Source organism: Homo sapiens, chromosome 9 (genome assembly GCF_000001405.40).
Source record: "Homo sapiens chromosome 9, GRCh38.p14 Primary Assembly".
Classification (NCBI taxonomy): domain Eukaryota; kingdom Metazoa; phylum Chordata; class Mammalia; order Primates; family Hominidae; genus Homo; species Homo sapiens.
The window spans coordinates 94673174-94700754 of NC_000009.12; the positions used below are offsets into that span (position 1 = coordinate 94673174).

Consider the following 27581-nt stretch of genomic DNA (forward strand, 5'->3'; position numbering starts at 1 on the left):
ACCATTTATATAAAATATCAAAAATAGACAAATCCATAGAGACAGAAAGTAGATTAATAGTTGCCAAGGGCTGAGGGCAGAAGGAATGAAATTACAGCTAATGGGTATGGAATTTCTCCTTGGGGTGATAAAATGTTTAAGAATGCAGCCATAAAAAAGAACGAGGTCATGTCTTGCGGGAACATGGATAGAGCTGGAGGCCATTATCCTTTGCAAATTAACACAGGAACAGAAAACCAAATACTGCATGTTCTCACTTAGAAGTAGGAGCTAAATAATGAGAACTTATGGACACAAAGATGGAAACAACAGACACTGAAGTCTACTTGAGGGTGGAGGGTGGGAGGAGAGGGAGGAGCAGAAAAGAGAACTATTGGTTACTGGGCTTAATACCTGGGTGATGAAATAATCTGTGTGACCAACCCCCATAATACGAGTTAACCTACGTAACAAACCTGCACTTGTATCTCTGAACTTAAAATAAAAGTTGAGTTTTGTTTTGTTTTGTCTTGTCTTGTTTTGTTTTGAGGCAGAGTCTAACTTTGTCACCCAGGCTGGAGTGCAATGGCACGATCTCGGCTCACTGCAACCTCCGCCTCCCAGGTTCAAGTGATTCTCCTACTTCAGCTTCCCAAGTAGCTGGGATTACAGGCGCATGCCACCACACCTGGCTAATTTTTGTATTTTTAATAGAGATGGGGTTTCACCATATTGGCCAGGCTGGTCTCGAACTCCTGACCTCAACTGATCTGCTCACCTCAGCCTCCCAAATTGTTGGGATTACAGGCGTGAGCCACCGCGCCCGGGCTCCTGAGTCTCCTTTTTCTTTGTATTATTTCTGCCTCATGGGTTACCCCACACAAACAGCCAGTGAGGCTTCTCACAGTCTGACCTGAACCTGCATCTTGAGTTCAAATCACTGCCCTGCTCTGACCTTGGGCTAGTCACTCTTTTCGGCCAGGCGCAGTGGCTCACACCTGTAATCCCAGCACTTTGGAAGGCCGAGGCAGGCAGATCACCAGGTCAGGAGATCAAGACCGTCCTGGCTAACACGGTGAAACCCCGTCTCTACTAAAAATACAAAAAATTAGCCAGGTGTGGTGGTGGGCGCCTGTAGTCCCAGCTATTCGGGAGGCTGAGGCAGGAGAATTGCTTGAACCTGGGACGCGGAGGTTGCAGTGAGCCAAGACTGTGCCACTGCACGCCAGCCTGGGCAACAGAGTGAGACTCCGTCTCAAAAAAAAAAAAAAAAAAAGAATGCCTCTTTTGGCCAGGCACAGTGGCTCATGCCTGTCTTCCCAGCACTCTGGGAGGCCGAGGTGGGTAGATCACCTGAGGTCGGGACTTTGATAACAGCTTGACCAACATAGCGAAACCCTGTATCTACAAAAAATACAAAAATTAGCCGGGCGTCTTTGCAGGCACCTGTAATCCCAGCTACTCAGGAGGCCGAGGCAGGAAAATCACTTGAACCCCGGAGGCGGAGGCTGCAGTGAGTTGAGATGGTGCCATTGCACTCCTGCCTGGATGAAAGAATGCCTCATTTGTGGGGATATTTTGAGCATTAAATGAGACAATAATGTTGAACGGCTTAGCACCTCCAAATGGACAGTAGGTGCTCAATAAACTTTTGCTATTATTATTTCCCACTCTGCCCCTGGACTATGGCATGCATATTTTCCCTCCATCTTTACCCATAATATTGCCTTGGCCTAGACTGTCTGCTTCTCTCAGCCCCTTCTCTCTAGCCAAATCCTTTTCATCCTTTTCAAAATTTGCCTTAAGTCTAATCTTAACGGATTTGTCCAGCCCACAGGGCCCTTTCTCTCTCTTAAATTTGGAGCCCTCGGCTATCTCTTTCACTCATTCATCCAGAATCACATGCTGCCTTAGAACAGTCTTTTCACTACTGTATTTGTTAATTGTCACATATTTTCACCTAAACTGCAAGGTCCTCGAGTTCAGGAAGCTCACACAATGCTTACATGTTAAGGCCTGTGACCCCACCCGAAGTCTCAGGGAATATTTGCTGAATGAAATTTGTGTCCTTAACAGAGTCACCAGAGAATTAAGGTATTCCATTGTATGCCATGAAAAAAAGTAACAAGCAATATGAGAATACCTATTTTTAGATGTTTTGGCTTCAGGGTTTAATTTGACTGTGTTGGCGTTAGATCTGTTCTCCGCAGGCCTTGGATGTTTTTTCTTTAACGTGAGTTTCTTGGCTGAGATGAAGTGGGGTTGCCACTCTGTAGTGAAACCTGTAACCGTGCCATTCAAAATAAGTGAATTCCCTGTGGGGGAAAGTTGAAAGCCAGCTTTTGGAACTTGGATTTTTTTACCTCACAGCTTTAAAGGAACAAATCTGCCCCAGTGAGACAACAGATGCAGTTGTGAACTTTTGCTCTTGGTCTACATATTTACCCCCATTCCTCATGAGAAAGGGCAGAAATAAGCTGGAATAAATGATTTCCAGCATTCTCTGCATTCCTGGAACATTGTTGAAATAGATATTTTCCTGAGGAGGCCATTATAAGCAATTGGACTTGGCCACTGCACAGTGAGTCTTTTGCATCCAAAGTTACTTAATTTTTGCTTATTATTATTGCTGCAGAAGCATTTTTGGATCCTATCCTTTCCCTCCACTCTCATAAATTTGGTTGAAATAGCTGCACATAAATATTGGACATGGTTCCAAGTCTGTCACCATACCCAGATGTCTCCTCTGCTCCTCTGTGGCTGATCCTAAGCTCCGCCTCATCTCATAGATGAGCAGGAACTCAGGACCCCAGCATCTTTTCTTTTGTCAATCATTTTCTTGAGTACTTATAATGACTAAGGTTTTACATTCATTATCTGGATTTTTATTGTTGTTGTTTTTGAGATAGAGTCTCACTCTGTCGCCCAGGTTGGAGTGCAGTGGCGCTATCTTGGCTCACTGCAACCTCCACCTCCCAGGTTCAAGCGATTTTCCTGCCTCCGCCTCCCAAGTAGCTGGGATTACAGACATTCACCACCATGCCCAGCTAATTTTTTGTATTTTTAGTAGAGACAGGGTCTTACCATGTTGGCCAGGCTGGTCTTGAACTCCTGACTTCCGGTGATCCACCTGTCTCAGCCTCCCAAAGTGCTGGGATTACAGGCGTGAGCCACCATGCCCTGCCTGCATTCATTATCTTGTTTAATCCTCAAAACACCCCATAAGGAAGGTCATTTAATAGAGGACAGAAGTGAGACTTAGAAGCCACCAAGGGGCTAGATGGTGCAACCCAGAAGTGAGGGGCCTTTGGCTATCTGGGGGTGTACATTGGCAATTGGTATACAGGAGACAGGAAGGAGTGGGGAAGATAAATTCCACCTCTTCTGTGGAGTCGTAACCCTCCTGGAGAAGTCCTCCTTAGGTAGAGGACATCCATTGGTGACTCATTGTGATGCTGTGGCCAATACAGTACTATGTCATGCTGTGTCCGGAGTTGGTTCCTTCCAGTGGGCTCTTGGCCTAGCTGACTTCAAGAATGAAGCCACGAACCTTCCCAGTGAGTGTTACAGGTCTTAAAGGTGGCACAGACCCAAAGAGTGAGCAGCAGCAAGATTTATTGTGGAGAGCAAAAGAACAAAGCCTCTACACCATGAAAGGGGACCCAGGCAGTTTGCTGGCTGGGGTGGCCAGCTTTTATTCCCTTATTTGTCCCCGCCCACGTCCTGCTGATTGGTTCATTTTACAGAGTGCTGATTGGTCCATTTTATAGAGTGCTGACGGGTGCATTTACAATCCTCTAGCTAGACACAGAGCGCTGATTGGTGCGTTTTTACAGAGTGTTGATTGGTGCGTTTACAATCCTCTAGCTAGACAGAAAAGTTCTCCAAGTCCCCACTGGACCCAGTAAGTCCAGCTGGCTTCACCTCTCAATGCCACACTAACCAGCATCTTTTCTTGCCTTACAGCTTGTTTTCCCTCACCTTCTTGGCCCTAGGTTTGTACCCCTCATATAAAATACCAGCTCTCTAATCAGGACTCCAGCTCCTCTTTCTTGAGGACCTGGGTAAGACAGTTATTTTATTTTCCCAATTTACACAATTGAGTTGTGTGTAAAAATGGCTCATTGAGGCATGAAGAGAAGAATGAGCATAATAACATAAACTACAATTCAGAAAAGCATCCCAAACACGAGCAGTGAGGAAGAATCTCTTGTGAATGCCAAAAGGAGTCTGAGTGGGTGAAACAAACAATTATTTCACATATGACACAGAAAAAGGAAAATCAAGTTCGATGCAGTCCCCAGCGTACTGTCTTCTATACAACTTTTCAAACGGCCGGGCATGGTGGCTCATGCCTGTAATCCCAACACCTTGAGAGGCTGAGGCAGGTAGATCACGAGGTCAGGTGTTCAAGACCAGCCTGGCCAAGATGGTGAAACCCCGTCTCTACTAAAAATACAAAAATTAACCAGGCGTGGTGGCAGGTGCCTGTAATCCCAGCTACTCGGGAGGCTGAGGCAGGAGAATAGCTTGAACCCATGCAGCAGAGGTTACAGTGAGCCGAGAGTGCGCCACTGCACTCCAGCCTAGGTGACAGAGTGATACTCTGTCTAAAAAAAAATAAATAAATAAAATAAAACCTTTTCAAACTTCTGCTTTATTTCTGTACAAGAAAACTCTGAGCTCTCCAGTAGAACAATTTAGGTTTTAGGATAAGCACAAAATAATGCTTTGCAGTATGCAATTTTGTTGCCAAAACCATAGAGACATCATTCAAACTCCCACTTCTTATACTAAAAACAGGTAGTTTACTTTGCTGCCAAGAATCTTATAAAATCATCCCAAATTTACAAATGTTATGCCAGGAGAAAAAGTAGAAAAGTTTATTCACAAAATTTCTTTTTAAAACATCTCTATGGATAGCACATAAAACTCAATGGCTTAAGATGTGGAAAAGCCATTACTATCATATGCGTATGAGCAGATATTTTATAGCTGGATAAAAATGCCCCTGTCCAAAGTATGAATCAACTTTTGGCACATGTGTAAGTCAAGTTAGGCCAGGCGACATGGAGCAACAAATAAACCCTGAAACCGTGCCTTTATAAAGTCTGATGCAGTTGGGTGACCCCTTCCATACTGCAGCTGTGCCATGTAGAACGAGTATCTGCCAAGATCACTGCAGCACAGGAAGAGACGGAGGAGGCATGCAGCTCTCAAACACCTTCACCTGGAATGACGCATTGAGAAACACCAGGAGGAAACGTGAGGACAACAGGCCATTGCTTCTGCCCGTGGTGCATGTATGAGGGAGAAGTATGAATGGTTTTGTTGTTGCTGACTACCAACAGGACCCCATGCCTTGGGCGAGTGAGTGTGTGTGTGTGTGTGTGTGTGAGATTAAATAACCAGGAGATGTGATGTGCCTTGGCAGTGCAGCCACCAATGGATGTGGATGGGGTCTGTGCTCCATGTGCAGCGCGAGGGGGCAGTGCCACAAAAGTAAGAGAAGATGCATCTGAATGTCAACCCTACCCCGGGTTATCCTCTGAGAACACCTAAGGACAACAGCATGCTCCCAACCTTGATTCAGTATTTAAGAAAATGAAAATCACATGTAATCCACATGCTTGTAGTTCTCTCTTCAGTGTGTTGTGGCAAGACACTGGGACTGAAACACCAAGGCTTCAGTCTAGGTCCTGCTGCTCACTGCACAGAAAGCCAATCACTGAGACAGTAAGTATTGCCAGGGAAGAAGGCTTAAATCAGGTGCTGCAGCTAAAGAGATGGGAGCTCAGCCTCAAATCCATCTCCCTGGGGGACGCAAATTAAAAGTGGACGTAGCAGCGAAGAATGTGACCCTGCATGGGAAAACAAAAATGAGGGAGGGGTAAGGAAGAGGAGTTGGTCCACAAGAAGCTGGTGGTGGGTTAGGCAGTCATGACCTGTGAGGGGTCTGCAGCATTTTCCAGATGCTGCAATCTGGTGAGTTTCCGTTCCTTGATGCTTATCTGGGAGGTCTGATGATTGGTTTCCTGAGAAAGAAACTCAGGTAAGACAATTGTAACTTTCTCAAGTTTTAAGACTGAGAGGGGCAGTTCCTGGCATTCACTGAGGCTCACTTCCTTGGACTCTTTGGAGGTAGAGCTCAGAAATACACATTTTAAACAAGTTCTGCAGAGATTTTTATGCACACCAATTTATTGGTAGGCTTGGAAAACTTTGCTAAAAATGGATACATGAAAACATGAGATGTCAATTGCAACAGGCAATGGAAATGAATTTGAGTTTAAAAGTTCCTCTGTCCTGAAGAAATTTCAGATGGTAACTTTATTTCCAACTTATGTGCTCCTTAAGCAATAAAGTTTTCAGTGCTGACATAAGCCAAGTTTCTTGCCTTTTATGGTAAAAACATTAGTGACTCCGTTTCTCCAAGTGCGAGGACAAAAATCCCAGTAATCCCTCTAATTCATAGCACCTCCACAGATAATGACTGTTTGTTGTCAGATGGAAATAATTTCATTAGCATAAGTGGATGCGGAGTTTATAAATGCAGACGCATGTGTTTCATATTCTGCTCCTATTTATTTACACATTCTGTAAACACATGTATACACAAAGTCACATGGACATTTTTAGGCGAGCGCCTGGAACACTGTGCACATGGAAATACCGCAGTTGTTGCCTTCAGGACTTTTTTTGTCAGGTGGCAAGTTGGTTACTGTTCAGAGGATCTCAGTTACCCCATTACCACCTCTCCCAGGTGAAAATGTGCCCTGCCGCAAGTCAGGCTCTGGAACTTTCTTGAACTTCCTTTTTCTCTTCGAAAAGTCCTGTCCTCTTAGGGCTCTAATTTATTGGAAAAGTAATTCATTCCCAAATATTCATGGTTTCTAATATGTTAATATCACAGCCTTCTCAAATAACATATCTCTAAATCCACAATACTCAAAGTTAATGAAGAGAAGTTCAATCAGGTTGATGAGGAGGCTGGATTGTACACTCCCTTCTGCTAACACAAAAGGCCTTGGACACACCTGGGATCAAGTCAGAATGAACCTGGTTCTGGAAACACAAGCTTGCACAGTGTAGGGAGAGGCAGGTAGAAAAGGTGGCAGAGCTGTGTGTCTCTTCTGAGCCTCCCCTGGAGAATGAAATGGACCCAAATGTTATCTACCTCATCAGAAACAATTGGTAACTACAACCCAGTGTCTCCTGAGCTAAATTAGATTTTTGTACTACATGCTAAATGTAATGTGACGGGGAAAAAAGAAAGTTAGGTAGAAATCATGCTTTCCAAAGCTCTCTTTATTTAAATGGTCTGTTTTGGTCCAGGGACTGTATGATCTTTTTTTCTCTCTCTTTAAATTTATGAAAACTTTTTTTCTGATAGTGAAAGCAAAAATACTAGCTGTCTTCTGCTGAGTATACTCTGTGCCAGGCACATGCTAACTCCTTTACATTAACAGATGAGAAAATGGATGCCTAGAGCCAATAGCTGCCTCAAGATTGAACAGCTAATTAGTAGCTAAACCATGATCAGAACCCGAAGCCCATGTACTGGAGAGTGTTCCCCTAAAATCCATGTGCTTCCCAGAACCTCAGAATGTGACCTTATTTGGAAATAGGATCATCACAAATGTAAGTAAAATGAGGTTATACTGGAGGAGGGAGGGCCCCTAATCTGATATGCCTGGTGTCCTTAGAAGAGGAGAAGAGACAGACACACAAAAAGAATGTCACCTAATGATGGAGGGGGCAGTGATTGGAGTGAGGAGGAGGCTGGTAACACCAGGAGCTAAGAGAAAGGCGGAACAGGCCCTGTCAACAACTAGACTACAGGCTTGTAGCTTCCCCCACTGTGAAATACTACATTTCTCTTACAATCTGGCTGGCTTAAAAGTAAACAAAATGTATTGTTTCAGAGTTTTCCAGGCTGGAAATCTGGAGTTATTGTCTCAGTTGTTTCGTACTTTGTTAAAGCTCATGCAGCCTGCCATCTGAAACAATGCACCCTGCAAGGTGCTTAGTGTAGAAACTTTGGAAAACAGAGAATTCACTAAGTGCTCATGGTCCCACGTTCCAGAACCAGTCGCTGTAGAGTGTATATTTTCCAGTTTTCTTCACTTGCCTCTGAAGGCCATTCTGTCCACTTCTACCTTTTAAAAATAGTAGCAGTTCTCTTATGTATTTTCTTCTTTTGTTGTTTGATCAGCTGTACTCTTTATGGGATGTGCTTTCAAAAGAGTGAGAACCACTGTAAACTCCAGAATCCTGTTTTTCATCACCACCGCCACCATCCTCCTCCTCCTTCTCATCACCATCACCATCACCATCATCAACACCATCATCAGCTGGTTAGAATAGGTCCAGTTGAAATGAGAAGTGCCCCTACCCCAATCTTTGACTCAAAGCTTTGACACTAAAAACGGAACCACAGTCTCTGATGAGACTCCCCAGAAGATGGCAGTGTGGATCACAAAACCACACTATCCACTCAGTACCACTGAGCCCCAGCCCGTGGATCCTGGTGTAACCAGAAGGCCCCGGGCCTGCGGCCTTGGTAGCCAGGCCACCCGCTGCCCTGATGAGGCTGCTGGGAGTGAGTATTCCAGCTCTGCGTGGTCCTTTCGTCTTGTGAAAGAGAAAAACATTGAACTACAACTTTAAGCTCTTCATTTGAAGAAAGTTACAGTTCAGACACTGGAGATTTTTGTCACCAATATTTCAAGGTATCCACTCTAATGTCTATATTCTATCTCCTACTTATCTGAAGGGTTTAAGGCAGGCATCTCAGTATTGTGGATAAAAGAAGGAAGGGCTGAGAAAGAATTAAATGGAGAAAGTTCAGAAGGAGCAATGAAACAGAATACCAGGATCATTTATTTAATGCTTAATAGCTGTGGGATCCAGGGATACTCAATCCTCTGTTTTTTTCTTTCTTTTTTTTCCATGGGCATAATATCTGTTGCTGATTCTGCACTGTTTAACACAGCTCAAATGAGAAAATGACTATTAAAACTGTAAGATAGTATTTCTATCATTAAATATCCTTTGTATGATCTAGCAGGGATTCTTAAACATGATCAGAATCACCTAGATGGCTTATTAAACCATGGATTGCTGGGCTCTACCCCATCATTTCTGATTCAGTAGGTCTCAAGAGGGGCCAGAGAATTTGCAGCCCTAACAAATTTCCAGGTGATGCTGATGCTGCTGGTCCATGGAGGACACTTTGAGAACCACTGGGCTACAACAAATCTAAGAGAATGTGTTGCTTTCAAGCCCTTACTATAAGTCTCAGAACTTCCTAGGTGACTTTTTTTTTCCTCCCCCCAAGATGGAGTCTTGCTGTGTCACCCAGGCTGGAGTGCAGTGGTGCTCTCTCAGCTCACTGCAACCTCCGCCTCCTGGGTTCAAGCAATTCTCATGCCTCAGCCTCCGGAGTAGCTGGGATTACAGGCGCCCGCCACCATGCCTGGATAATTTTTGTATTTTTAGTAGAGATGGGGTTTCACCATGTTGGCCAGGCTGGGCGACTTGAGCTCCTGTCCTTGTGATCCGCTGGCCTTGGCCTCCCAAAGTGCTGGGATTACAGGCATGAGCCACCACGTCCGGCCCCTAGGTGACTTTTTAATGCAAAATTAAGGATAGCATTTCACAAAATTAGGAAATGCTGTTTGTGTATGTGTGAGTGTGTTCAGTGTCTAGATGTACCCAAAGGTAACCATCTTAGAGATCACACCATTTCCAGTGGGTGTGGAACTTGCACAAGTGCGTGTTTTCCACCTTATGGTGTCTACATACCCCACTCACTGCCATGAGAACCTGGTGGCTACTGAATTGACAGTCGGATCAATGTGACCCGACGGTTCCCTCAAAGACCAAAAGAAAAGCTTACAGACCACAGGACCTCCCTTGAGAATGTCACAAGAAGAGGTTGTGTTTGGTCACTGCTGGGCTTACAGCCCTTTACCTGGGTCCATTTTCCCTATAGGTTTATTTATTGCTTACTGTCCATCTTTCTCTCTACCCCCCACATGTAAAAATTTAATATGTCCCAAGAACAGTGGCTGGCAAAGGACAGGCATGCAGCAATTGTGTTGAATGAATAGATAAACGCTGGCAGTGCCCTTCTCTTCCCAAACACTTAAATGAGTTTGTGAAACGCATTTATGTGAGCCTGCTTAACACCTTCCAGAACAACTGTGAGGAAAGTTTCACATCGTTCCAGCAAAACCCACAGTCACCATTATAAACTATAAAACCCAGGTATTTGGAGAGGAGGCCCCAAATCCTTACTCACATCTTAAGCCAATCAAAATCCACGTAATTCAATCAAGAGTTAATCAACATCAATGAACACAGAATTATAGAACCAAAGAAGTTAGCGCTGGAAGGGGCTAAAAGATTCTGTAAGTCGCGGTACTCTCTGAATGAAGAAGCAGAAGGCCCCTCCTGACTATGTGGCTGTGGAGGAGCCCATGAAGAGTGAAGGGTGGGTGTCCCCTCCTAGGCTGGTGCTCCTGCTTAGCTTCTCTCCCGGACACCCTGAGACTGAGAAGCTCGCAGTGATGCCCTCCCACTAGCCCCATGTGGACATGATGCAAAGGGGAAGTGTGAGGACCAGCGGCCAGCTCCTGGCTCGCCCAGAGGCTCATCCCTATCACTCTGTTGACCTAAAAATAACGTAACCTACGTTTTACACAAGTCCTGGTTCTCACTCAGAGCATATGGTAGGATTTATTGTCTTCAGGTCCTGGTTCTCACTCAGAGCATATGGTAGGATTTACTGTATTCAGATTTTGCCAACGCGCCTATATCTTCTACATGCTACAGATTCTGAGGTTGACACTGTAGTGACCTGTGCCAGCCTAACATTGTTTTTTCTTTTTTGCCTTTTTTTTTTTTTTTTTTTGAGACAGAGTCTTGCTCTGTTGCCCAGCTGGGAATGCAGTGGCGCTATATTGGCTCACTGCAACCTCCACCTCCTGGGTTCAAATGCTTCTCCTGCCTCAGCCTCCCAAGTGGCTGTGACTACAGGCATGCACCATCACGCTTGGCTAATTTTTGTGTTTTTAGTAGAGATGGAGTTTCACCATGTTGGCCAGGCTGGTCTCGAACTCCTGACCTCAAGTGATCCACCCATCTGGGCCTCCCAAAGTGCTAGGATTACAGGAGTGAGCCACCGTGCCCGGCCTAACATTGTCTTTTCTGATCCTATAACTTGTCATTTTGGTTTTGGGATAAAACTGATCATAGGTTTAGAAAGAGCGGTTCAAGATGATGATTAAGGATCTGCCTTGAGAGCCTTAATAGACCAGGAAGATTTAAAAATAAAGGCTGGCTGGGTGTGGTCGCTCATGCGCATCATCCCAGCACTTTGGGAGACCAAGGTGGGAGGACTGCTTGAGGCCAGGAGTTCAAGACCAGCCTGAGCAATAGAGAGAGATCCCCCGTCACTATTAAAGTGAAAAAAAAGTAAAAATAATAATAAAATAAAAATAAAGGATCAGAGGGACCAGAAGCTCAGAGAAGGTATAAATGGAAAGAAACAGAGGTAGATCCTTAAATGCTCTCAAAGTCAAACTAGATAAAAGGCAGCATTAGTAGAATTCCCATCCCTTGAACACTGACAGTGTTGCAGCCAGCCAGCCAAGTGTTTCATCTTTAGTGACATTCAATTCGCTACCAAGCTGTGCAGTGCATACTAGACTGAGCCACATAAAATTGCCATATTTATAAGTCAAAAATGGTTGAGCAACGACAATATTATTTGGTTCTAAGATGGATCATTCCCATGTTACAGATAAGGAGCCTGAGCCTCAGAATGGAGAAATATCCTGGCAGTAGTCATTGTGCTGGAAAATGGCGTAGAGCAAGATTTTGAACCCAAATCTGATAGACTCCAAAATCCATTCTCTTTCCACTAAACTATGGGGCTAGATAAGAAGGTGAAGCTCAGGAAAAGCCATAGGCAATTGCACTGTTTGTACTGTACTCGATAACATTTCTTTTCATAACTCATAATCCTTTATTCTCCCTTTATAGTCATAAATAATGCACTTCAGGAAAACTGCAAGTACCATCTTGAAGGAGCCCTAAGTACTGAAAGAACCACAAATGATTGTTTCCAGGTTATCAAATTTTAATAACATTATTTTATTACAATACAACATCTGTCCTTTTAAAGACAATGTTCCAAGAACTCATTATGCAATTATAAAATAATAAAGCTCTTCATAGAGTGAAGAACCAAAGGCAGTTCCTCCTTGTAGCAACACTCAGCATCTCCTGAAAATTTTTTTTAAAAATCCTAAGCATGCAATATTGCTTCTTCAGGCAAGAGTAGATACAGCACAAAGTAAGTATAAGTGAGGAACTGAATAAAACATGACTCAAAATGAATCTGATGTGTATACGTGACACTCCTAACGATATCCTAGGGTAAGAACAGTCTTAAAGTTTGGTCATTTCTCAGTTGACTGAGATGGCAAAGGCTTTTACATACAACCAAGTTGAATCTTTGGCATTTTCTCTTCTTTTGTGTTCTAGTATCATTATTGACAAGTTTTCCCTTGTTATGGGTTATTTAATTCTAAATGCAAACACTTGTTTTTGGAATTTAATACACAGTCATAATTTTAAAAATCAGGTAATAAATAAAAGTACAAAAAAAATAGCAAATAAACCACCCCAAATCCCACTTAGTCTCACCAGAAATAGAAGATTTGATGCTAATTTTCCACAGAATTACCTTTGGTGCATACTTCAGGGCATACTGAAGCCACTCACAGAAAGGAGGAGAAAGTGGTTGTAATAGATCTGGGCACGTAATTCAATTTCATACAACAGCCACCCTGGGTTCTATTTGTGGATGATCTTTTGGATTAACAAGTGGATAGATTTCCCATCCCATAAACTTGATTCATAAGCACACGTGTTAAAGAAAACTTTAAGTGCATTTCCCCCTCATTTTAATTAGGGTCCATGTAAAATATTTTTGCTCCAATTATAACCAGAACTACAAATACCTCCCCTCTTCAACCCAAAGAAGCAGTTACGAGTCCTTTGTGGCGTGTTCCAGTTCTGACTTGAGTATCACTGCATTTTTTCCCAGAAGAGCAATCTCTTGGGAAAAGAGTCAGGCCACTTTGGGTAAGATGTCATGGCGACGGCTTAAACTGAAGACAGATAGTGGAAATAGACCTTTTCAAACTTTCAAAACCCAGACTTATGATCCATTCTGCTTTTAACCATGGAGGACCCAAATATGACATGAGAAATTGGAATAATTTTATTCTCTAAAAGCACCAGTAAGCTCCCGCTCCTGGAAACATATTAGAAAAGTTTTTGCCCTTTGCCCTTTGCATAGATAGGTCCAAAGACCTTCCCAGGCTATAATTTTTTTTATCATGTACCACAGCAGAGATCAACAAAACTGAGTTGCACTGTGGCTGCTGAGCAAGTGGCTCAGCCCACTCACTAGCCCAGGGACTCCCTTCTGCAAACCAGGCTTCCAGAACAGGGGATTCTCTTCTGTGCAGAGGCGAAAGTATCAAATCACTGCGTGGCTTGGACTTCTCAAATAGCTGAAAGCCCAAATATTGAATCTGCAAAAGCTAGGAGCAAGGTAGTAATGTATTTGACTTCTAGTCTACAGAGCCAAAGTTCAGCTCTGGCTCTGACATTTACATGATCTTGGGTGAACTCCCTAATCTCTCTGTTGTACAGGGTGAAGATAAAAACAACACACTGTTGGCCGGGCGCGGTGGCTCACGCCTGTAATCCCAGCACTTTGGGAGGCGCAGGCGGGCGGATCACGAGGTCAGGAGATCGAGACCATCCTGGATAACACGGTGAAACCCCGTCTCTACTAAAAATACAAAAAAATAGTCGGGCATGGTGGCGAGTGCCTGTAGTCCCAGCTACTCGGGAGGCTGAGGCAGGAGAATGGCATGAACCCAGGAGGCGGAGCTTGCAGTGAGCCGAGATCCTGCCACTGCACTCCAGTCTCTGGGCGACAGAGCGAGACTCCGTCTCAAAAAAAAAAAAAAAAAAAGTATTTCCCCAATTTTCTATAATTACCACAGCCTTGTATCATCAGGGTTGTCCCTTCTGCTTCCACTGAATTCCATTTCTGTTTCATCTCAGGTTCTCTACTTGCTGTTCACGTTCCATGTGTCAAACCAGATGTGGGATTTGCACCCTATCCTCAACTTCCCTCCCAAAAAAGTTACATGAGGCCTATGCTTGTAGCAGACTTTACTAAGGTCTTTGAGGATACTCAGTGGGTTTATATGGCAGAAACTCCAAAATAATTTAAAACTGAGTCTGGGACTCACCTGCTTTGAAAAATTCTTTAGCCATTCTACCACCGGGCCCCTTGCTGCACTCTTTAAATTCTTTTCTTCTCAAGAACCCAAAATACATACAGGCTTACACTCTCCCTTTTCACCTGCTGCACTCCCTGCCTGACACCCAGCCTCTCCCTTGCTTGCTTAGAAGAGCCACGTGCATTCTGCTCACACAAGTTGGCATCTGCCCAGACACCTCCTTTTCTTCTTTCTCCTCCAGTGTTTGTGAAGGAAAGAGCATGGTAGAGGCATTTTATTTCTCCTAGAATATAAATTATGCCACCATTACCTCTCCCCTTTAGAAGACAGAAGCAGCTATAGTCCATTTCTGTGTGTGTGTGTTTTGTTTATTTGTTTTTTTAGATGAAGTCTCGCTCTGTCGCCCAGGCTGGAATGGAGTGGCACAATCTCAGCCCACTGCAACCTTTGCCTCCAAGGTTCAAGCAATTCTCCTGCCTCAGCCTCCCAAATAACTGGGACTACAGGTGCACGCCACTACACCCGACTAATTTTTTGTATGTTTAGTAGAAATGGTGTCTCGCCATGTTGGCCAGGATGGTCTTGCACTCCTGAGCTCAAATAATCCACCGCCTTGGCCTCTCAAAGTGTTGGGATTACAGGCATGAGCCACTGCGCCCAGCCCATTTGTATTTAACAATAGGTTTTTGAATTGTTCATTCATTCATTCATTCAACAAAGAGGTATTGGCCGGTCACAGTTGTTCATTCCTGTAATCTCAGTACTTTGGGAGGCCAAAGTGGGAGATCGCTTGAGGCCAGGAGTTTGAGACCAGCCTGGCAACATAGCCAGACCCCATCTCTACAAAAATAAAAAAAAAAGTAGCCAGGCATGGTAGCGTGTGCCTGTTGTTCTAGCTACTCGGGAGGCCGAGGCAGGAAGATTGCCTGAACCCAGGAGTTTGAAGTTGCAGTGAGCTGTGGTTGTGCCACTGCACTCCAGTCCAGGTGACAGAATGAGATCTATCTCCAAAAACAAGAACAAACCAAGTATGTGTGTGTTTCTTTCAATGTGCCAGGCCCTATTCTAGATGCTGGGTTGTGACCACAGCCAAAAATCCCTGCCACTATGGAGCTCATATTTGGATGGTGACAAGGAACACAACAGACAATAAACCAATATATAATTAAAGTAAATGTATATCAGACTGTGACAGGTGGGGAAAGATAAAGCAGGATAGGGTGACAGAAAGAAATGGCAAGACGGTGGGGGACAGGTGGCTTGCAATTTTAAATTAGGTAGTCAGGGAAGAAGACCCCATTGAGGAGGGGCCATTTTAGCAAAGACCTGCAATGTGTCTGGGAGTGAGTCATGTGACTGGGGAAGAGGGGCAAGGATGGAAAATGTCACAGGCTGAGGAAGCAGCCTGTGCCAGGGTCCTGAGGCAGGTTGCTGTCACATCAGTAGCTTTTCCTTTCTGTAATGGACAGGATAAGATTTCACCTTTTGCTCAGCTCAATGTCAGGCATTTCTTCAGGGTCCCAGAATTTCCTCAACTTTGTCCCCACCTTCCTTGTGTATTTCCTGTTGATTCTGCCTCCTAAATGTACCTTGAGCCTAGCCCTTCCCCTCCATTTGACCGGCCATGGCACTGGGTTGTGCATGCAATTTCTCCCCTGGTCTACAGGTGTAGCTTCCTAACTGGAGAGTCTGCCCCACTTCGACTCCCACCTGGGTGACTTAGAATTCAAACCTGATCTCACCACTCTGCTGCATTAAGTATTTCAATTCCTTCCAGCCCCCATAACCTTCAGAAAACAATTCAAGCTCGCTAGCATGGCAATAGCAAAGATTGTCAGCCCCCCACCCATGCCCCTCAGCACCTGCTGTTCCAGATGATGCCCGCAGGGCCCTGCTGCAAGCACCTGCTGCTCTTCACTTGAGGGATTGCTCTTGGTTTTGGGCAGTGAGCCTTAAGTGCGAGGAAGTTAATGCTCCCAGGCAGCAGCCCTCAGCCAGTGAGAGATGGGAATGGAAGGACCAATTGTCCACCTTGCCCACCCCTGAGGGAGGGGGCAGTGCAGAGAGAATCACTTTGAGGTGTTTTCTACACTGTCTGCCAGATTTTTCCTGGTGGCATTGACTCCCAGTGCCCACAGGGCCACGATGCCCATTATTCTGACCTTCTTACCTTCCCCCTCCCGCCTTCCCACCAGCCCCCACTGGAGCTTCCTAGAATCATCCCTCAAATAAACAACTTGTACTCAAATCTTTGTGTTTTGACTATTGTTGTGGGTTGAATTATGTCCTCTAAAAAGTTGAAGTTCTAACCCCTGGTACCTGTAAACATGACCTGATTTGGAAATAGGGTTTTCATGGATCTAATCAGATATATTTCATGGATATAACTAAGATGAGGGGTGGGCCCTGATCCACTATGATTAGTATTCTTATAAGAGTAGAGCGAGCACACATAAGGAAGAGAACGCCATGTGAACAGGGAGAGGGGAGGTCAGGTGGCAGAAGAATAGAGACTGGAGTGCCATGTCTCCAACCAAGGGATGCCAAAGATTCGCAGTAACATGGGAAGCTAAGAGAAGGGCATGGCACAGGTTCCCCCTGAGCCTTCAGAGGGGGTGTGGCCCTGCCAACACCTTTGTTTCAGGCTTCTGTCCTCCAGAACTGGGAAGGAATACATTTCTGTTGTTTTAAGCCTCCTAGTTTATGGTACTGTGTTACAGGGGTCCTAGAAAACTAACAGTTATCTATTGCTATGCATAACAATATTCTCAAAAATTAGTGCCAGAACCACCGTTTTCTTTTTTTTTTTTTTTTTGGTCTTTTTTTTTTCCTTTTTGTGGAGAACGAGGTCTCGCTATATTGCCCAGGCAGATCTCGAACTCCTGGGCTCAAGCTATCCTCCTGCCTCTGCCTCCCTGAGAGCTGGAATTACAGGCATGAGCCACCACGCCTGGCCACCACCGTTTTCTTTATCTCACATTCTGTGGGTCAGAAACTTGGACAGGGCTCAGCTGCGCAACTCTTCTGTTCCATGTGGTGTTGACTGAGATGTCCAACTGACAGCTGGGCAAGTCGAGGGAATCCACAACAGCTCCGTTCATTGTCTGGCACTTTGGCAGAGTCGCAGAGACAACTAGAAGGCTGGACCTGACGGGGACCACGTCCCAGAGAGCCTGCATGTAATCTCTCTAACTTGGCCAATTTAGAGTCATCAGAGTTCTTCCATGGTGGCTCAAAGCTACCAGAGTGAGGGTGTTCCAAGAGACCCAGGTAGAAGCAGCAAGGTTTCTTGTAAGTTAGTCTCAGAAGTCCCAGAATGTTACTTCTACAAATTCTGTTGGCTGAGCAGGTCACTGAGTCCAGCCCAGATTCAGAGGGTCATGAATAAGACAGCCCCCTGAAATGGGAAAAAGAGCAAAGAACTGCAGCCGTCCTTCATGTACATCACCTGTGCCAGGGTCTGCTGCTAGGGGAACCCAACCTAAGACACTTGCCTGCAAGATTCTTCAGGCTCTGGCTCCTGCCCTGTTTCTAGGGTCATCTCATGCCCTCACATTTGACTTTGGTGCCTGACATGCCAGATTCTCTTTTGTTTTTCTAACACTCCAGGTTCTATCTTGCTCCCATGCCTTTATTTAATTTACTTATTATATGCAAAGTAACAAAAAATACACAATAGATGTTCATGCTCTCCTCTGCCTAGAATGTCCTTCCACCCTATCCTTGTTTACCTGCAGCTGGGCTCATCCTTGGAGACCTCGACTGGGCTTCGCCTTCTTCATTCCAGTGAGGTCACGCACCTCCACCCTGCTCCTGCCTCTGCAGCATGGAACACATCAATTTCCTTGTCAGTAAGTTCTTCTAGAGAAGGAATTCTTCTTTCCCCTACTTCGGTATCCTCATGTCTGATGATGGATGAATGAATTATGTGTGGCCCTAAGAACTCCAAGGCAAAAATATAAACAGTTCAGCAAATTGCTAAATTTTTACATTAATGTTCTCCTGCCATTTTTGAGGGATTTTCTTAATGTCAACTAGCTCAATGTAGGAGCTGGTCACCAAGCTGTCACGGGGCTGAGGAGTGTCAGGTGGGGAGATAATCTAATACAACTACTTTTTTTTTTTTTTTTGATGGAGTCTTGCTCTGTCGCCCAGGCTGGAGTGCAGTGGCGCGATCTCGGCTCCCTACAAGCTCCGCCTCCTGGGTTCACGCCATTCTCCTGCTTCAGCCTCCCAAGTAGCTAGGACTACAGGCGCCCGCCACCACGCCTGGCTCATTTTTTGTATTTTTAGTAGAGATGGGGTTTCACCATGTTAGCCAGGATGGTCTCGATCTCCTGACCTCATGATCCGCCTGCCTCAGCCTCCTAAAGTGTAATACAACTATTTAACTTAAATGATGGGACCTTATATGTGACTCATTGTCTCCATGCCCTCATTTATCTCTCTTTGCTCCCTAATAGGCTTGGCTGATATCTTAATAAAGTTAATGTCTTCCTTGACCCTTGTCTTGTTCTTGCAGTATAAAAGAAGTCCCAGTTGCTCCAAACAGGGAAACTTTTGTTCGTAAGCCCTGTCAGAGTTCTGCCAGTTATAAACCGGGATAAAGCAAGCGTAATGGCAGTGCAGACATCTGGAAAATTTCCCTGTAAAGAACCAGATAGTAAATATTTTAGGCTTTGTGGGCCAAGAAGTAAAATTGAGGTATTTTCTATAGACACAAATGTAACCATTTGAATATTTAAAAAACATCCTAGAGCCAGCAGGCAGTGGACCAGATTTGGACGATGGGCTGTGATGTCCCACCCTGTGATGTAGTAGATTGAGAGCAAAACTGAGGTGAAGAGAGCTGGGCTCAAGTCCTTACTCGGTTCATTATTGTGTTACCAACCTAGAGCAGAAGGCTCTGGGGGAGATTCCACCGACAATGGAGGCTCCACTCCCCAGGGCATAGGGCGGAGGTAGAGTTGGTGGCTAACCTTCTGTTCTGAGGGCAAAGGGAGTTCGGATCCTTGGTCCTGGAGGAAGAGCAGAGGAAAGAAACATGGCCCTGGACCTCCAGGGAACACATAGTGAGCTCAGCCCCACCCCCAGAACCACACCTATGGACGCTGGATGCTGAACCAATGGATAAAGTGAAGGGAATTGTGTGTGGGCCTCAAGCCAAAGCAGGACAGGTGGCTCATCCAGAGGACCTGGGCCAACATTCCATTCTGCATCAGTGCCCAAACAAAGATGCCTCTCACCAGGGCTCCAGCTTCTCTGTGAGTTAAACGTTAACTGGGGTTTGAGCTCCTGTATCCAGGAATGCAGTAAACACAAAGTTCTCAGCCAGGGTCTGATACCCTCCTGAGGGCATCTGAAATGTGTGAAGGTGTTTCTGGCAGACCCGTTGGTCCTCGGGGAAAAGCATTTGCCAGCAATGGCACATGCTCTGCAGTTCATGGAATAGACCCGTGCAATGAAGACCTGTCCTGACCAAATGCCAGCAGCTCCCCCTTGAGAAGGGCTGCTAGGGAGCCATGCTGGTGTTCCTGGGCTGCTGGAATGCAGAGGGGAGGGACAGCCTCAGTATCTTGAATTCCAGTGAGCCTCACTTTCCTCATTTAATCTCAAGGATGCTTGTAAGAATCAAGAGATAATTACATTTGAGTCTTTTGTCGACTGGCAAATGTTATAAACATATCAATCATTGTAATGTGTCCTCCAGTGGCTCCTAAATGTGATGTCTTTTTAAAAAAAAATAATGAGGCCAGGCGTGGTGGCTCACGCTCATAATCCTAGCAATTTGGGAGGCCAAGGAGGGTGGATCACTTGAGGTCAGGAGTTTGAGACCAGCCTGGCCAAGATGGTGAAACTCCATCTCTACTAAAAATACAAAAATTAGTGGAGCATGGTGGTGCGCACCTGTAGTCCCAGCTACTCAGGAGGCTGAGGTACGAGAATTGCTTGAACACGGGAGGTGGAGGTTGCAGTGAGTCTAGATCGAGCCACTGCACTCCAGCGTGGGTGACAGAGTGAAACTCCATCTCAGATAAATAAATAAATAAATAAATAAGTAAGTAAATAAATAAAAGAGATACAACTTACATGAAGTGCACAAATCATAAGGTATAGCTCAATGACATATATCATACCTCAACACATACCCAGATCAGGATATGCGATGTTGCATCATCCCAGAAAGTTCCTTCAGGCCCCTCTCCAGTCAATACTTCCCTCCCAGAGGCAACCACGCTTCCGAACTCTCCAGAGACAAGTTTTGCCTGTCCTTGAACTTTATGTAAGGGGAATCATCCAGCATCTCCTCTTTCATATCTGGCCTCCTTTGTGAACATGGTCTTGAGGTTCATCCGTGTTGTTGCTTGGACCAGCAGTGCATCCCTTTTTATTGCTACATCATGACATGTATCTTTTTTAGGTGGAAGGGAATTTTTAAAATCTCAAAATTACAGCAGAAGCTACAAATAATCATTCCACCCCTTGCATGATTTCAGGTCCTGGTCTCTTTACCAGCCTCACTCCCACGCTGGGGGAATTATAATGTCAATTGGCTTTTAGCTGTATTGTGTTAGGACCAGCCCGTCATTCCTAACAAGGACAAGGATTTCGAGGGGAAAGGCTTCTGTTAGCTTAGTATTTATTAGTCTGATTATCTGTTCTTCAAGTCAAAAATCTGCTTGCCTCTTACTTAACTGTTTTATTTACCTAGAAAGTAGAAAGAAAGTCTACTCTAAAGTGCAGATAAGCTTCTCAACTTGGAAGCATGGTGCTTTAAGAGAAAAAGCACACACTCTGCAAACAAGATGTGGGGAGTGGAATGGAAAACTCCACTGAGTGCTTTCCTGGCCTCATGCCAATCTGTGAATACTTAATTATATATGTGTGAGTGTGTGTGTGTGTGTGTGTGTGTGTGTGTGTGTGTATTTAAAGCCAACTGTTCTCACATTTAGGCCAATTTTTCTTTGCTAATATGGTCTTTTCTTGTCTTCAATCCAAAACAGATTGAGAATCAAGAAAGATATATTCTATCCACAGTTTCATTTCACCAATCATCTGTTCATTTTCAACTAACGACAACCATTTATATGTCTTTAAATATTAATGTGGGTGCCAAAGAACACAAAGCAAAGGCACTGTTCATTCAGAGCCGAAATTGACTGAGAATTCCTGCAGAGGTGAAGTTTCTTCTAATTGATGGATTTGGTCTGGCAATGCCCATGGCCAGAGGTGCACAACAAGGAAATGAATGAGTGCAGAGGGAATAGTGCCAGTCAAGAATCTACAGGTTCAGGTGTATGCTTAGGCAAGTGCCTAACACAATTTCTTTGTCAATGGTGCCGTATTAAGTTGACTCTGGATCCCCTCAGAAATTGGGAAGAAACTCAGGGGAGAAATGACCGTATGTGCTTTCCCTTGATTAGTTATCGTCACTACATCACCTCACCTTAATCTGCATCACCATATGCAGCCACTGTATTTCATAATGCTTAGGGTTGATCAGCCATTATCCCATAGCTCCCTGTCCATGGCTCAGTTTGGTGCTTAGATTAACCTAGGAGGTGGTAAGGAAAGTACTCTTGCCACCTTGAGGGGTGAAAAGGCTAAATGACTTCTGCAGGGGTAACATTCAGTAAGTGGAGGAGGGCCTGCCTTGTTCTCTCCTTTGTCTCCAGGTTAAACTGAATGATACTCTAATGTACCAGAATATGCCCTTTGTAATATTTTATTTTTTTAAAATTTATTTTACTTTATTTTATTTTATTTTTTAGATGGAGTCTCAGTCTGCCACCAGGCTGGAGTGCAGTGGCACGATTTCAGCTCACTGCAACCCCCGCCTCCCGGGTTCAAGCGATTCTTCTGCCTCAGCCTCCTGAGTAGCTGGGGCTACAGGTGCCTGCCACCATTCCCAGTTAATTTTTGTATTTTTAGTAGAGACAGGGTTTCACCATGTTGGCCAGGATGGTCTCGATCTCTTGATCTCATGATCTGCCCGCTTTGGCCTCCCAAAGTGCTGGAATTATAGGTGTGAGCCACTGCGCCCAGTCATTTATTTTTATTTTTATTTAATTTTAATTTTTTTTTTGAGACAGAGTATTGCTCTGTCACCTAGGCTAGAGTGCAGTGGTGCAATCTCTGCTCACTGCAACCTCTGCCTCCTAGGTTCACACCATTCTCCTGCCTCAGCCTCCCAAGTAGCTGGGACTACAGGTGCCCGCCACCACACCCGGCTAATTTTTGTATTTTTAGTAGAGATGGGGTTTCATCATGTTAGCCAGAATGGTCTCCATCTCCTGACCTCGTGATCCACCCCCTCGGCCTTGCAAAGTGCTAGGATTACAGGTGTGAGCCACCGCGCCTGGCCTATTTTTGTTTTTTAAACGGAGTCTCTCTCTGTTGCCCAGGCAAGAGTGCAGTGGTGAGATCTCAGCTCACTGCAACCTCCGCCTCCAGGTTCAAGTGATTCTCCTGCCTCAGCCTCCCAAGTAGCTGGGATTATAGGCATTCACCATCACATCCCATCACATAATTTTTGTATTTTTGGTAGAGATGGGGTTTCGCCATGTTGGCCAGACTGGTCTTGAACTCGTGACCTCAAGTGATCTGCTTGCCTCGGCTTCCCAACGTGCTGGGATTACAGACGTGAGCCACTGTGCCCAGCCCCTTTGCAATATTTTATAAAGGTTAACCAATAGGCATAGAGTCCTTATTTTACTATAATGGAATATAAAGCCTTGTCCATTAAATAAGAATAAAGTTGCTTGATTTGTCCCAGTGAATTGACTACAAATGACCAGATGCTATGGCCTGTTGTCTGTCTTCCTTCTCCCTCTGCTCACCAGAACATAAGCTGCACAAGGGCAGGGACTTGGCTTAGTTCACTGTTATATCCAGAGCTCCTAGGCCAGGGCCTGACACATAGTGGGTGGTCTATAAATACTAAGTATGTGAGGGGACAAAGAAATGATGGAATGAGGGAAGAAAGGACAGAGCAAGGCTTAGATTGGTGGAGTGGCTTGCTGAAGGTCACACAACCATAGCAACCTTGATGTTCGAGAGAGCCTGAGCATAAACACCACTCCTCTGTTAGATCTTTTCATCTGTGCTTTCATTTCCATGGGTAGTATTCGTTGCCTTTTTGGAGGTGAGAGCTGGGGGAGGAGAGACGTTGCCATTTTTCTAGAGGAATGTCTTTAACAAGTTGTAAGAGTTGTCTTATCTGAGGAAGAGGGCGATAAAGTTGCTTTGAATGTGAATGCTGGTGGCTGGCCAGGCCCCCTAACTAGCAAGTGATTTGATAACTTCCAGCATGGACTTCAATTCATAGATCACAACACGTCAGAGACCTTATCAGGGCTATGGTTGGTCTAACTCCACAGGTGTGAAAGATCGGGGTAGTTATTCCTCCTGAGGATCTTACATGGAATCCTTTTTTTTTTTCAAAACTGTATCACCTAAGTTTCTGGTGTATCACAAGACATGCCCATAGCAAAGGTAAACTTGATGGTTGATGCTCTTTTTTTCATGCTTAGCACACACTAGAGAAATATATCTGCTCATGAATATGTAAATAATTTTTATTTAAAGTCTAACTGGCTTGAAAGAAAATTCTTGAATCACCTCTTGGTGTTCTAGGAATTCAATATTTCTCAGTGCAAATATCAAACTCCTACTCAGATGCACCAAATGGAGACTTGGCTGGTTTTAAAGCATCTATTTACTCAGAAGAATAGAGCCCACGCACAGGGAAAATGTCCCTTCTTCTACTGATGTCCCAAATGCCTCTTTGCTTAAAGATTGCTTAAGAGGGATGCCAATGTAGTTAATGCAGCTCTATAGTGAGGAGTGAACCCAGTCCAGCTCCATATTACATTTTTGTGTTTCATAATATTATAAGGCTCTTAGCAAGGAGGGGAAAGAACCAATTCAGAGAAAAAGAGCTTATGCCCTCTGGAATGAATAAGATGCCAAGATGGCAGATAGTACCAGATAGTTCATCTTAATGCTTTTTTTTTTTGTTTTTTTTTTGAGATGGAGTCTCACCCTGTTGCCCAGGCTGGAGTGCAATGGCATGATCTTGGCTCACTGCAACCTCCCCCTCCGGGGTTGAAATGATTCTCCTGCCTCAGCCTCCTGAGTAGCTGGGATTACAGGCACCCGCCATCATGACCAGCTAATTTTTGTATTTTTAGTAGAGACAGGGTTTCACCATGTTGGCCAGGCTGGTGTCGAACTACTGACCTCGTGATCCGCCCACCTTGGGCTCCCAAAGTGCTGGGATTACAGGCATGAGCCACCCTGCCCGGACTAATGCCTTTTTAACAATGTCTGTGTGTACCTTTCTTTTTTCTTGTAACCTGTGTTCTCAAGACAGAGAGCAAAACAGCAGCTTAACGTTTTCTACTAACAGAAAAATCATAGTAACCAAGTGTACCTGAAAGCTTATTAATTTTCCTGGCCAGCCACCTTTACCTTGATTCCTTTTATTGCATTAAAAATCGAGACTAATTAAGGCAACTGTTGCTGCAGCAGGCCAAATTAGGTTTTTCTTAGAGCTCTCCCTTCATCTCACAGAATGATGTCATTAAGTGTGCAGCCTGTGAAATGCTAAGGACAGCCTGTTTCCACCGTGACATGGGTCACTCAGGAATGCGAGGGAAGTACACCACTGAATGTCATAAAGCTTTAAAGAGTTACAATAACACCTACACTGCAGGCCAAGCAGAATATGGGCATTCACTTCTCTTTGTAAACAGACTCTGTGAAGCCAGAGGGAAGGTAGGCGGGAAGTGATGCGGGAAATGATGGCATGAAGGCTCTGCATAGCTGCTCTGCAGGCTACTTGGTCTATGGGCCTCTTGATTGGCCAGTCACCCAGAGGCTTTACATAGAACTGGGAATTGGGACCACCAAATTGCACAGCTTCTTGGCAGGCCTGTTTGGCCACAGGCAGCTCTTGAATCACAGGGCTATATTATATGGCCACTTGATACCTGCTTATGATTAAGCAAGCTCCAGTGTGCTTTCACAATAGAGATATATTAGTCAAATAAGTTTACTTCATTTTTTTCCATGAGCCCTGGGATTTGAAGAGTTAGATTACAGTCCACTCACCAAGATTCTTTCATACAGATGGTTTTCTTATAGTGGAGTAGCCCATTGCCTTCTCAAGTGAAAACTATTTAGTCGATCCCCTCTGGTTTGTTGTTTGCATGTGTCTAGGTAGTCTCTGAGTCCTGATCCTTAACCAGACATAAGCATTTGTGTTGACATTGATCAAAAAACACTACTATTGCCAACTACTCAGCATGTGTTTCTAATACCTACTATGTATAAGGCATAGTTCTAGATGCTATGAGCTAGACATTGATCAGAAGCCTGTAAGACCTGTTCTCAAGAAGACAGGTTAAATATACATTAAAGTAATTCAGAATACATGACAGTCTTCGAAAAGGGCAAAGAAAAGACAGGAGTTTAAATTATAATTGGAAGAAGAATGTGAAGGGAAACAGAGGTCAAGAGAGATAAGTATTGTTTGGAAAGATCAGGAATGATGTGAAATTCAGATAGTGGAAAATGTAAAATTTAAGGAGGGATAAGCAGAGAAAAGGGACAAGCCAGAGGGAACAGCTAAAGACTAGTTTGATGAGAAGAAGAAGGTTACCCATGTTTCACTTGTACACTGTCTTAGGTGGTAAGCTAAGGAATTTAAACTTGTCTTTAAAAAAAAAACAAAATCACTTTATTGAGGTATGATTGACATATAAAAAGCTGTGTCTACTTAATGTATACATCTCGATAAGTTTGGGCATAAGTATACCCCTATGAAGCAATCACCACCATCAAGGAGATATTTATGTCCATTAACTTTTTTTTATAGACAGTGGGGAGCCATAGAATGTTCTTAACAAGGGACTTATATCATTTAGGGATTTTTTTTTTTTTTTTTTTTTTGGTGAGGCAGAGTCTTGCTCTGTCACCCAGGCTGGAGTGCAGTGGCGCGATCTCGGCTCACTGCAAGCTCCGCCTCCCAGGTTCACGCCATTCTCCTGCCTCAGACTCCCAAGTAGTTGGGACTACAGGCGTCCGCCACCACATTTGGCTAATTTTTTTTTTTTGTATTTTTTGTGGAGACGGGGTTTCACCATGTTAGCCAGGAAGGTCTCGATCTCCTGACCTCGTGATCCGCCCACCTCAGCCTCCCAATGTGCTGAGATTACAGGCGTGAGCCACCGCACCCGGCCCATTTAAGGCTATTTTATCATAAGCAGCAGAGAAGCCAATTTGACCTGGCTTAAACAACAAAGGAAGTTTCTTGGCTTACACAATAGAAATCTCTACAGACAGATATTGGCCTCAGGTAAGGTTTGATCTAGCAATCCAAACAAGAACTCCCGGACACTAGTTCCTCTCTGCCTCAGCTTCATCCTTAGATACCACATTGTCCCTACCTGCCATCCCCATCCTCTTCTAGGCAGCTCCTGGCTCTCCATGTGTGGCAGAAAATGGCTGCAGTAACTCCAGGCCTCAGATCTCCCTATACCTTCTGGAGGAAGAGCAAGCCTCTTTCCTGGTAGCATCTCTGGAAGAGGAGGAAGCTTGTCTTTCCCAGAGGCTTCAAATGGCTCCTGTGTCTTCATGGATCTGAATGGGTTACTGATTTATCTGGGAATCAGTGGAGGATGTAAGTAAGTACATGGGAAAAGCTGATTGGTTTAAGCCAACCACAGTCCACCCGTAGAGCAGGAGAGGTGGGTGAATCCCTCCCAAGCCACAGGGCTAGAATGAGAAAGGATAGATTTCCTGAAGGAATCTGTAAGTAGTGTTAGGAAGGGAGAATGGCCCTTGGGTGGCCAAAGAGTGACACATGTTTACTAGAGGTAATAATAAGACAAAGGTAGGTAGGTTTATGTGACAGTCAAGACCAGCTTATCAAGCCATATAATTGTAAAGGTATGAACTAACCTCTACTGACACTGACTACGTAGTCAGTATCAACCTAAAAAAAAAAAAGACACCAGAAAATTGTCTCTAAATATGTTGGGTTTACTCAAGAATAGAAGTAAGGATTATAGACTGGAATGCATGGAATGGCAAGCCACTAGTGCATTCAGTGAGGAAGGGGGAAGGGAACTTTTATTAGCAAAAATAAATTGACATAAACTGCTTAGAAACAAGTTCATTGGTTCCAGAGGTTCAAAGCCAGAATTGTTGTCAGTTCATTGGTGGAGATGTCGCTACTGGGCAAGTGTTCTTCCAAGAACA

The 27581-nt window shown here is 44.5% G+C and overlaps 2 long non-coding RNA genes across 3 annotated transcripts; one reads left to right on the forward strand and one right to left on the reverse strand.

The window, feature by feature from the left end:
- The first annotated feature begins 8520 nt into the window (after window positions 1–8520).
- LOC124902219 (uncharacterized) lies at window positions 8521–18817 on the forward strand. Its single transcript, XR_007061675.1, has 2 exons — window positions 8521–8711; window positions 18053–18817. It is a non-coding gene; the product is annotated as an uncharacterized LOC124902219 (long non-coding RNA).
- On the reverse strand, window positions 17218–26986 carry LOC107987101 (uncharacterized). 2 transcript variants are annotated; one of them, XR_001746846.1, is made up of 4 exons: window positions 26768–26986; window positions 19207–19333; window positions 18047–18134; window positions 17218–17712 (listed from the first exon to the last, which is right to left on the reverse strand). It is a non-coding gene; the product is annotated as an uncharacterized LOC107987101 (long non-coding RNA). The 2 variants fall into 2 exon arrangements; XR_001746845.1 differs by having other exon boundaries at window positions 18047–18258.
- Between the last annotated feature and the right edge of the window lie 595 nt (window positions 26987–27581).